This window comes from Homo sapiens, chromosome 5, assembly GCF_000001405.40.
Source record: "Homo sapiens chromosome 5, GRCh38.p14 Primary Assembly".
NCBI classification, from domain to species: domain Eukaryota; kingdom Metazoa; phylum Chordata; class Mammalia; order Primates; family Hominidae; genus Homo; species Homo sapiens.
In genome coordinates this window covers 135,345,925-135,358,387 of record NC_000005.10, presented here as the reverse complement: position 1 = coordinate 135,358,387, position 12,463 = coordinate 135,345,925, and the positions used below count along the sequence as shown (strand labels likewise).

The window sequence follows — 12,463 nt, the reverse complement described above, 5'->3', positions numbered from 1 at the left end:
AGTGCTGCAGACACTGTTTAGCAGAATAAACTCCATGTTTCCAAAATAAAGCAGCATCTTAAGTCAGCCTAAGCACCAGTGTTAGAAACTAGGGTTCCAACTGCCCTTTCTGGAATCCTACACCCCTGCAGCATGAGACGGAGTGAGCATTGATACATTAGAGCATTATTTTGAAGCATTACTTTCTGGCTTTTTATTGGCTATTACTGTCAGGTGAAAATCATGGCATATAGTGTAAAAAAGGCAAAAATCATGAAACTAACACACAGTTTTTACAAAAAGCACATTTAAAATATTATAGACATTAATTTTGACTTGGATTTTAGGAAATGTTTCAAAAGGGGTACTTTAGAATGGTGACTATATGGTACCCTGTGTCCTATGAATCTCATTTTTCTATCTGTGACACTGAAACCAGTGCTTGAAGATTGCAAGCAAGCTGGGGTGGAGAAAGGTGATATTGTGCATGCTACAGCCCTGTAAGGCATGGTTGCTAAGCTACTCAGGAAGCATGGCCCAGGCTTAGGAGCCTGACCATTGATGTTAATGATGTATTTCACATACTGAAGTCTCAGGAGTCATCATAGCCATTACTCTCTGATTTTGCCCAATGTTCACACACATTGTTGAATTGTTTTAAAAAAGAAATCAGTGCTGTGAATCTGAGTCAACTAAATGCTTTTGCTTTGTGTTCAGCCAAGATTTGCAGCCTTTTTTCAGAGGTTTTAAAATTTTCAGAAAAAACATTTCTAATGTGTCTAATGTGTCAGTGGTAACACTGACTTAATGGTAAATGGTAAATGATTTAAGTTTCCTTGTCAGAGTCAGTATTATTTGAAGGAGTTAGGAAGGCAGTCTGAGGCTGTGATGAGTCTCCTTACCTCCCAAATGATCAAGATGGCAACCCCAGCTCGCAAGCCATTCAAGGCGGGCATAACGTACCATGGGTTTTCTCCCTTTGATCCACATACCCTTCTCCCGGGAGCTGGAAGAACTGTGAGGAGAAAGGGAGCTCTTGAAGTTGAAGCATCAGTGAGGAGAAAAACCATTCACCCCTTCCCCCCACTATGGCTGAGGACTGGCTTCTGAGACAGTTTAGGAAACTGACAAAGCCATGAAGGAATGGCTCAGCTATCGACCATCTGGACATCCAGCAGTATCTATCCATGTCCTTATCTTTGTGGGGCTCTTTCTAGCTGGACACACTAGATTCTGCCCGGCCCAAGGCCTCTGGAGAAATCCAGCTTGGGCATGCATGCATGCAGGGAGAGCCACACAGCACAGCTGTGAGGGCAGGAGCCAGCCCTGGAGTGTGCCCCAGGGAAGACACAGCTCTCAGGAGGAGACTGGAAAGGGTCCTATGGAAGACATTGCCCTTCCCATTCCCCTCGTTGAAGTGAACTTTGGGGACAGGAAAATAACTGCATTTTAGGTGGTCAGCCAGGCTTCCTTCCTTATCTGTTATGAGAAAATGAGAGACACCAAAATCTGACAGTTACAGGCTAGATTTAACATACTACTCAGGCACTATCTTTAACAGCCACTTTCATTAACTAAAATTGGGTTTCTAATCATATTTTTTTAAAAGAACCAAGAAGGAATGTACTATTTCCTGTAGCCAAGTAGGTCAGGTCAGGCAGTCTGCATGTCCATCCAGACACTCCTTCCCTGTCATCATCGACAGACCGCCTCCTGCCCTGCCCTAAATGGTGGGGGCCAGCCTCCCATCCAGGCGAGGACAGCTTGGCTCTGAGCCACCTCAGATACAAGCCAGGCCCAGGGCTCAATTTCTGAGCTCTGGCATTTCCATTAACAATGCCTTAAAGGAAAGCAAGCAGGGGCAGTCATTTTATGAGTTATATCTAAGGATGTTTGATGTTCAGTTCTAACTCTACATGCCCAGGGGAACCCCAGCACTGGCTTAGGCACTGTGCAGCACTCAGGGTTAGGGGGCCACACCCACTCCTGCCTTCAAAGAGATTATACTCTGATGAGCATATACCATGAGTAAAGAACAAGGGTTTCCACGGACATCCTCACCACAGGGAAGACTCGGGTACTGCTTGTATCAGAAGCTGGCCCAGCAGAGCCAGTGAGGTTAGGATTATCGGATCCCAGTGCTGGAAGGGATCTTGAAGGTCCCTTGGCTACGACCCTTTCTGCCAACTGTGCAGCCACGCGGGGACCCCCTTCTGCTCTATAACTGGCAGTGCCCTATGATTACTTTCCTCAGTGGCTAACAGTCTTCATAGCTGCTTTAAATTCCTCATGCTGTGGTTTAAAACTTAGTTTTCCATCTTTCCTAACGACGGTACAAAGAAGCAGTCACCTTATTCAAATTCTGAAACCATTAATGATCCTTATTCCTCCCAGAAAATCAGACTAATTTTGGGAATTTTTACAGTTCCCAGAAATCTGATTTCCTAACCCACAAGGACCACTTCTCTGCCATGTACTTCAGATGGACACACACCCCTCTGGCTGATAAACCCCACTGGATCTGACCCTGGCTGGTGGGAGGGGACCCTGGGGCCTCCTAGGACTGGACCTCTGTCTTGGCTCTATCTCGCTTATTCATTTGTGACTGGACAGTGGGAGCCTGTCCAGACACATGTGTACCTGGTCCATTTGCACGCTATGCTCATGGGCTTTCTTCTGTATAGTGGAGCTACTGTCTTCGTTCATGATCATCTCACTGTCAGCTTCTGCCCACTGGCCCACCTGCCAAGCTGATTACCCATTTGTCCTTCCAAAGTACTTGAATTAATTTGTCTTCTCCCCTTCCCATTCTCTTCCCCTGATGCACACATCCCAAGCACACACTTTCTAGTCAAGATTGTTTAAAAATACATATTTGTACACATTTTACAGCAAAAAAACTTTTGTGGCTCAGCTGCATACCCTGAGGACTTCTGCTGAGCCCCAGTGCATAGCAGAGCATAGTTGGAAAATCACAGCTCTAGCCTCATCCACAGATGTGAAGAGTGAAACAGCACTTGGTTGGCAGGAAATCCTCAATGCTGAGTAGTAGTGGCTCCCTGAGGTACTGTAGTCTGCACTTCCAAGAGTGGGGATGCCTCTGGTCAGAAGGGAAGGTAGTGAGTCCAAAGGAAGCTGAGAATTCTCCATGAGCTTGAGTTCTGTTCGCAACTGCTCCCTTCCTTCAGCAAATCCAAGTTTCCCCCAGAGAATCCCATTCCCCTAGACAGAGCAGGTGGTTCTCCCGCGAAGAGAGTCAGATACAGGCCACTGAGGGGGTCTTCCTGGCTAGCTGAAGCAGAGCCCGCCAAAATAGCTTCTTTTCCAATGAAACATTTCTGAATATAACACCAGAAGCATCTATACAATTGGAAAAAATTGCGTGAATTTTAAGGATTGAACATGTATTGTTTTAAACATAGGAATTTATAGGTGCCTTAAAAGCATACACATCCACATTACACTGAGTAGATCGAGTCTTTTTCTCCTTTGCCTGCCTTCCTCACCAACCTCCTGCCTCTTCACACTGTGTGGGGTGTGTTTTGGTGGTGTGTGGTGGGGAGTATTGGCTTAATTTGAGTTTTTGTAAATAGCATTTGCTTGGAGCCAAATGCAGAACTAAATAATAGAGTAAAATCCTTTGCCTTGTTCTAAATCCTGAGAGTTCACTTGCCTTACCCTAAGGCCCCCGACTCTGTGCCCACCCACACCCCTACTCCCCAGTGGCAGCAGTCAGGCCCCAGCCCCCATGCTGTCTCTTTTCTGTGCCTCTGTCCTGGTGCCAGGGCTCTGAGCTGCTGAGAGCTTCGCTTTGTGAGATCACCCCCATGGCTTCCTTCAGCTTCAAGGGTGTGGGTGGCCTCTAAATCACTCTATAGTGCGAGGAGCAATAACCCAGAAAGTCCATATGAATAATACTTGGTCCTCTTCTCTGAGTCTTTAACCAAAAATGAAGTCCACTGCCCTGGCCAGAATTCTTCCTTGGCTGTTTGACAAAACTTAATTCCACAACTGTTTCCTCCCAGAGGATGACTCTTAGTGTAAGCACATCCCTCTTTGAGAATCTGACTGTTTCTGGGAATCAAAAATGTGGGTTTATATTTCCGATACTTCTGGAGTGCCAGGTTGTTTGGTTTTGTTTTCAACAAAATGTTTGGCCCTAGAAATGCAGCAACTTGCTCTGTTGCCAGGAGCTTCCCTGCCAAGTGTCTTGTGCACAGCCCTCTCCTGGGTGAGCTCCTGGACAAAGCCTCATGCCCTGGTAAACCCTGCAGACTGCAGCCACTATTCTGGCCTAGGTCATAGTCTTGAGCACCAGCTCTGCTAGGGCTACTCAGGCATTGCACTTGTCTGCAGGTGTTAGGAATTTATGTTACTGAAGAGTGAGCAATGTCATTGTGAGAGCATGTGCAAGAGCAAGCTTTCCTGCAATACCTAAAGAAAAGCAAGGGGAATAGTAGGACCTGGGACAGCAGTCCTAGGCCCATTAATTCCCCTTGCCCCTCTGACAGAATTTCGAACTCAGTATTCTTCGAATACTCAGATGCCAGGGTTGCCATTGTAACAGAATAACAGTGGCTGGGGGACACCCATTCAGTGGCTCTTCAGAAAGAACAAATTCACTGGGTGGATATAACACTTAAGGAAAATGCTCAATAAGCCACCCATTGAGTCTCAGAGCAACCTGACCAACAAGGTGAAAACCATTTAAAAGACACATTGTCTTGCTGGAGAACCTTCCTCCCCTGGGTTTCACCATGGAACTTCAGCATTACATGACTAATGGGCACGTAAATTAAATGTTACTAAGCAAGAGACTATTCTCACTTCTTGCCACCCTGAGCAGGGCAGGGAAGCCAGCCAGCAGTCACAGTGATGGGGACAGCCTTAAAGGCCCATAGTCACTTGGAAGACAATGGCAGAGCCCTTAGGGGTTTGCCCAAGCCAGGTAGGATGTTAGCACCAGCCTAGTGCTCAAGGATGAGGACAGTCACATCCACCAGCCCCCAACCCTCAGCAATGAGTACTCATTCTAGGTCCTGATAGCTGCCTTACTTTGGCCCCCAGATCACAAGTCCCTTTAAAGGAAAGCTGATCTCCTCGTCCACTGTGGCTTGTGCTTCCTTTTGTCCCAGGTGCCACCCACGGGCTCTGAACATTCATCCTAGTTTGCTTGCTCCCGCATCCCGAGCAGCATTTGAGTCTTATGTTTGAAATGGGTTCATTTGAGCCAGCAACTCCCTGCTTCCCTTTTGTGCCTCGTGCACTTGGAGTGTCCACTGTCCTTTACCTGTATCCCAAGGCTCCTTCTCTGAGACTTCCCAGCTCTCCTGTTATTTCCCACCTCATGCTTTTCTTTGCAGCTGAACCTTATTCACAGTGAAATCAGTAATTTAGCCGGCTTTGAGGTGGAGGCCATAATCAATCCTACCAATGCTGACATTGACCTTAAAGATGACCTAGGTAATTGGGGACGGGGTTCGGCACCACCAGCTGTCAGATGAAAAGTTATGGAACCCAGAATTTAGGCATTTCATCTTCCCAGACTTTACAGTGGTCAAGCCAAATTTCCAAATCCAAGATTGATATTTGAGTGTAGACGCTGAATATCAACTTACTCCAGGCCATTCCAAGTGTAAACGGTCTGTTTCATTAAGTGTGATTGGCTACTCTCTCCTCAATTGCAAATACATTGCCATCTGAATTCTCTTCCATAATGATCAAACTGACTGCTGGTTACTTGGGGAGGGATTTTTAAACGTGTTGGTTTTTGTTTGTTTTTTTGTTTTTACTTTAGAACTGAAAAATCTCAGGTAACTACAAAATGATAGTTTCTCCATTTAAACCTTAATTAGAAATGACAAAGCTTGAAAGAGAAGACAGGCCACATCAGTATGCTATTAAGCTGTCTTTAGTCCACAATTTACTACCATCACTTCAACTTTTCTTTAGAACTGAAAACAGTATATGACTGAATGCCACCTTCTTGAATTATTTGGCTAGAGGATGGTATTAAACAGAAGGGCAATATCTCCAAGTGAGTTCTTATGGAGGAAAACTGCCCCAGAGCCATGGTGTCTCCCTGTTCAAGATGGCAGATGGTTCAGGGCAGACTGAGAGGTGCCCCTCAAGTGTCCTGCCTCTATGGCTTTATCTTTGCATATGTGGCACTGTCAGCTCAATGGCACGACAGGGCTGCTCTGCTGCTCTTCGATGTAGAGGCTTGCCAGGGGAAATAGGCACACAGATGCAGCCTCCTTCCTAACCCTCAACTGCAATCTATTTTGTATCCCTTGAGCTCTCAGCTTCTGCTGTTTTTGTCAGATAGCAGACTTCCTTACTGGGAGATACACTCATTCCATGGGCCCAGGCCTGACCCACACGAACTGGGTGCAACAGTGGGCTGAAAACATGAGGACTGGACTCAAGAGTGTCCAGCTTGAACTTGTTTTCCAACTGCCTTATACAGATACTTAAAAAAAAAAAGGCCACAAGCTAGAAAAAGCAAGGATTCTATCCAAAGCACATTTTATACTAAAATACAAAGGCCAGGTGCAGTGGCTCACACCTGTAACTCCAGCGTTTTGGGAGGCTGAGGCAGGAGGATTGAGTGAGGCCAGGAGTTGGAGACCAACCTGGGCAAGATAGTGAGACCTCATCTCTACAAAAAATAAAAAACTTAGCTGGGCTTGGTGACACGTGCCTGTAGTCTCAGCTACTCAGGAGGCTGAGGCAGGAGGATTGCTTGAGCCCAGGAGTTCGAAGCTGCAGTGAGCTATGATTGTGCCACTGCACTCCAGCCTAGGCAACAGCAAGATCCTATCTGTAAAAAAAAAAAAAAAAAAAAAAAAAAAAAAAAAAAAAATTAAACCATAAAAATAAGATAGGCTAGAGTAAGAGATGGGCCTGGAAAAATATTGATAGAGATCGGCCCATATGTTGAGGGGAAAAAATAAAGGCAGTCCTCTACATATATCAATACTGTTCTCTGGGTTTTCAAGAGAAATCCCTTGAAGGTAGACAAAATGGTAAATGTCACAAGAATAAAAATCAAAGCCTGCAAGTTGACTGCTGCAGACAGAATGGAGAAACTTGTTGTTTTGGTTGGCCTGATGGTCCACTTTTTTTTTTTTTAAACAGATGCCATGTTTTAGTAGCCTTCTCAGTGGGATGCCAGCTTTATAGGCTTTTGCGAAGTGAAACGGGGCATTCATTTTATTTCTTTTAACCTTTGGAAATGATCTCATGTGTGTGTTTCTCTTTTTTTGGACTTCTCATTCAAATGTTTAATTTAAACATGTCACATTTGATATTCCTCCTCCTCCTGTCCTCACCCCCATCCACATGTGCGCACACTGCGTGGACTGATTGCCCCTTGGGCTCATATGTTGGAATCGACCAGGTAGGCCAGCCCTGCCATTGGGGCATTAGTAAATGTGCCTGTGCGTGGGTCTCGGTCCAACACAGTTGATATACATTTGTTTACCTGTTATAGTTGCAAGTTGTACAGGCTGACATTGCCTCGATCGACAGTGATGCTGTCGTTCACCCGACAAACACTGACTTCTACATCGGTGGTGAAGTAGGTAATGCCTAGCCGGGTGCTGCCGAGTGTGTGTGTGCATGGTCAGTCGGCCGCTGCAGACAGCTTGATCCTTTGACAGCTATGCAGGGCTGCATTCATTTCACACTTCCAGCTGTCCTGACCCTGTCTCCTGTCCCTGGGTTGTGAACCTGAGTAATAAAGCTAGCTGTCAGCCAGGATGTCATGCATCCTGGCTGATGCAGCTCACAAATGGACATTTCTGGTTTGAAAACTGGTTCAGCAGAATCGTTTCTTCACCTGCCCCACAAGGCACAGCTTTGTTGGAGACTGGGTTCACAGATGATTTCAGCTGCAGGAACAATACAGGCACATGGACTGAGTGACAACCAAGACCATCTCCATGCACTCTGAAGAGCAGACAGACACATATGCCTGTGCACAGGTCACCACCCCCACTCCCCTGACCCCCGCCAATCTGTCTCCATGTCAGAAGCACACTTGTTCCTGAAAATGGCCTTAAAGCCTCAGGTGCACAAGGAGGACCCTTTCCAAATGCTTGCCCACACTTAGGGTTCTCAGACTTCAGGTACATGAAAATCACCTCAATCTGACATGGTATCCTTAGACCACTCATGAGAAACATCATCCTAGACCCAGAAAGCACCTTCCTTTCCCTTGGCAGCTGATAAGGCATTGTTGGTTGATTCCTGGTGTGCTAAATAGCTGAGGGTGGCCAAGAAAGAGGGCACTTGAGATGCCATATCCTGAGGCTGCAGATTCCTGGCAGGAGTATCAAATAGTGTCCTGCTTTAAGAACACACTGAGGGACCTGAGGGGGAGGCACCCATGTGTGATAGAAAAAAAGCACAGCTTTAGAGCTAGGTGGAAGGAACTGGAATCCTACTGTCACCATTTACTGATCATAGGGCCTGGTCAAGTCACTTAACTCCTCAGTGCTTCAGGTTCCCTATCTATTAAGTAATGGTAATGATGGGAATTACATTAAATGTAAGCAAAGCACCTTGTTTTGTAAAGCCTGGCTCATGATTGGTGCCTGCTGTAAGGTATCACTCATGTGTATATATAATTTTTATAGTAAATGTACTGGTCCTGAGAGCAGCCCTCTGAGTGTGGATTCAAATACCAGCTTCCAAAGAGAATGGTTACATTTCCAGTCAGCAGACAGTGAAGTCATCTGGAAGGATGAGGAGATCAGGATTTTCACAAGCGTCCTGGATGCTAGATGTGCAGTAGCTCACAATCTCTGGCTGCCTGGCTCTGCTTGGCATCACTAGCAAAGACTGCTGTTCAGTCTTCCCCAGCCACTGCAATTTGGACTAATCACTCTCCTGGGCACTTTGGATTTTGGACATGGATGGAAAGACAAACTGGATGGAAAGTCAGAATTTGCCAAGTCTGCCAGGCCAAAATGAAATCGGGCTGTAAGCAGTTAAACTCCCCTTTCACAAGACTTTGGAGGAGTTAAAGAGCTCCAAAGTCAGGCAGCTTAAGGGAAAGATGCTTCCTTTTTAAACCAAATGAAAATTTGATAGAAAGGAAGTACTTATTTAGAGAAAAATAAATGAACAGCTAAGGGCTTGTCTTTGTCATAGCTGGGAGTGACTAAGGCCTGGGTTCATCCTGCCATTCAGGACATTTGGTGAAATGGGAATTATGAAACTTTCCAGGCAAAAGTATCTTACCCAGGTCCAGGGAGAGGAGAAAGTTGGCCTGCCTGCTGCAGCCTGAGGAAGGCCGTGCCCAGCAGGATTAGCCATGCCAGGAGGCAGAGTTGCAGCTTTGAGATAGGGCTGAAGCCTTGAGGAAGTAACAGGCAGACCCAGCTGTGCCACCCAGAAGAGCCCAGTCCTTCCTGAATTGTGACTGGAATGGGTCTCTTTGGAATAAGGATGGTGCTAATGCTTTTCCTCTGACATGTTCACCTACAACTCATTGATAGGCACAGGGTGGGGAATTATTAGCTTCCAAGCCACAGGAGCAATCTGGGCCCAGGACCCTGGCACACATCATTCACCGACACTGTAACACCTGCAGAAATCCTCAGCAGGTTCAGACACCCCAACTGGCCAAGGCAGAAAGACTGCCAGGTCAGAACCCAGTCTTCCAAAGCCCTTCAGGGCTTTTCTGCCCAGCGGACCAGTCCAAACCAGTATTGACCCCAGATATCTTTTACAATCCCAATGATAAACCAGATTCCTACATGGCCTCAATTGGTTCCAGCTCCCACTTTGATGTGTGAGAGGAGAAAAGAGGAAGCTAGTAATCACTCCATTTCTCATATTTGGTGTGAAGTCCTGAGACTGCTGGAAGAAGGAATCCGAGTGCAGGAATGCTTAGCCCCAGTGATTAACTTTTACCCATCAAAAGTTCTTTCTAACAGTGAAATAGACCACAGGCCTAGCCTGACATTTGTCCAAGCCTAAATTTTCGCTTAGGCTGTTTTGAACACTGATACTTATGCCTGCTTTCTAAGCATGAAATAATGTCCTTGTTCTCATGGGAGTAACACATGTTTATGCTTGGGGGCAAATAAGCCAATTGCTTTATGATTAACCCTGAAGTTAAGCCTAAAAAGCAAGAGTCTTACAATAAGAGTGTTGACAATATGGTTGAAAATGGGCCTGTTTCTTGTTAAAAAGTACATGTGTGTCTACATGAACATGTGCATACATATGTGTGTGTAGGAGTCAAGTCCTGACTGGGTTGATTGCCTGCAATCTAGGGTTCAGTTTTTAAGTTTGGGAAATGCATTTAAGTGTATTTTAACTTGGAAATTTCACTTTTACTTAAAGCAATATTTATAAGTAAAAATTTTAAACACTCTTCCTAAGATAAAACACCTTTAATTATAGATCAGCCCATTTTCTTAAATATTTTAGAAAGGAGTTGGTAATCATGATAAAGTAAAAACATTATTTTACCTTTCAAATTTCTCAGTTCTCACCAAAGAGTTAATCTGATAAAGACTGAGAATGCTAACTAGTCCAGCCTCCAGCATTTTTGTTGCCCTGCCTCAAGCTGGAGAATGGGTTTAAGACAGAAGGCTAGACTGGGCCCCAGGGGCAGCAGTGTGTGGAATCCAGCTGGTTCCGGCTCCAGATTCCTTTTTCTCAGCTGCAGGGATAGTTTAGGTGAACCTGTATTGGGGTCTCACTCGCCTGGGTTGCATCCACTTTGTAGTGGTGGAGTTGGGCTCTAAGCCCCCGGCCTGCTTCCTCCAGTGCATGCCCCATTCAGCTGCCACCTCTGATGCTGACTTTACTAGAAACATGCAGCAGCAACAGGTGTGACATTCTCACTCTGCCATTTAAAGCCTGTGCTGCTTTCCAGGACAGGTAGAGGCAGGAGGGCAGTCTGAGATCATGAAGGGTAACACAAAATCCCACCTCAAGGATGCTAAGTTTGTGCCACCCTCTCTCGGACACAGCTGAGAGCTCCCCTGGGCTATGGCTGCTGGTCATGTTCATCTGCACACCCCAGGTTTCCTACAGCGGGTGGGTACAGGCCCAGTCCTAGCCATTAGCCCTGGTTCTTATTTGGGACAAAGCCCAAGCTATTTACTCTTCTTCCCAGACACCTCCCGGGGTTAGTTCACCCCTGCAGAACAAACATTCAAAGGAGGCAAGTTTCACTAAGATAATTAACCCTGGTCATCGCAGGGTGACTCCAAAGAGAATTTGGGCTGGTGCATTCCGATGCACCTTGACCGTCCCATACCAGAATTGTGCCAGGTGCACCTGGAATTTTCCAAGACAGATGTGAATCTTAAGGGGAGTATTTTGTCCTCTTGTGAGGAAAAGTACTTTAAAATGTGCAAAACTGAGGAATCAGAGCTTAAGGAAGACTCAGACCCCATTCTGGCCAAACTTGAAAGGCTGATCTTGTTGCTAACTTTGATTGCCACTTGCTATCCCACATGAGCATCAACCCAGAGTTCTCATAGGTGTTGGTGATCTTGTTTGGGAACTTGGTTTTCACAGCAGGAACTGATTACTTAGCAAGTGCCCTAATTGAAGAAAACACATTGCTCCCAATCTCCATTGGCTTTTGTGAAAAATCTGGTCCTGAGCAGTTAGACATCCTCCTTTCCAAGCTTTTTATAGAACACAGATTAATCTTTAAGCTCTGCTTCTGATGTTGCCCTTCTTTACTGAAAACAATTCTGAATCATTAGTGTAATTAAGAAAATACCGTCTGAGGCCATTTTTATTTTGTATTTGCATATGACACCAAAGCTGCAAAACAGGAACTAAGCATGGTAATAATGCTGGTCCAAAGGTGGCCAGGTATGAACACTTCCTTCTAGGCCTGCTGCCAGGAGGAGAGCTGGCTTATTGATGGGAGCATTGTATGCTGCTGAAACCTCCTTACTTGGGGGTTCTCCCCAGAGACAGAGAAGAAAACCTAAGGCAGGCATTAGTCTTGGAAACCAGTACCAGCTAGTATCTCATGCCAATGAAAAGCATCCAGGACAAGCATGTTTGCAAAAAACAAGCATGTCCTGTCTCTTTCACATCTCTGGCACATCCATGATCACCCTGAGTCAGACCCAAATAAGGGGCAGCAGAGACAGCCAGATGAAGCAGCAATTTGAGGGTAGTAACTGGTGATGACAAAGCCCTTCTCAATTTTACTTTATTAACTTAGCCAAGGCTTAGTTCCTGTTTTGCAGCCTGATGGAAATTTAATAGATCATTTGAAGTATGTAATCACCTGACATGCTAAGTGTCTGTGTGTGCCGGAGACACAGAATGGCAACCTGACCCCACCCTGTCCTTGTCTAGGAAACACGCTGGAGAAGAAAGGTGGCAAGGAGTTTGTGGAAGCTGTCCTGGAACTCCGGAAAAAGAACGGGCCCTTGGAAGTAGCTGGAGGTGAGGTGGGAAAGCCACCGTGCTTATCTGGTTGTGACACATG

At 45.8% G+C, this 12,463-nt stretch overlaps 1 protein-coding gene across 28 annotated transcripts in view; it reads left to right on the top strand.

Moving 5' to 3' along the window:
* Window positions 1–12,463, top strand: part of MACROH2A1 (macroH2A.1 histone) — a 65,507-nt gene that overhangs the window by 41,500 nt on the left and 11,544 nt on the right. For 10 of the 28 annotated variants that reach the window (NR_174496.1, NR_174483.1, NR_174498.1 and 7 more), the window contains 2 exons: window positions 5,343–5,442; window positions 12,331–12,420. Coding sequence is in view for 9 of the 28 variants with exons in the window: in XM_011543730.4 (XP_011542032.1) it covers window positions 5,343–5,442; window positions 12,331–12,420 (190 nt within the window). In the remaining 19 variants the exon portion in view is untranslated. Of the gene's footprint in view, window positions 1–5,342; window positions 5,443–7,474; window positions 7,566–12,330; window positions 12,421–12,463 lie in introns of all 28 variants that reach the window. The other 18 variants (NR_174499.1, NR_174497.1, NR_174495.1 and 15 more) reach the window with 5 other exon arrangements.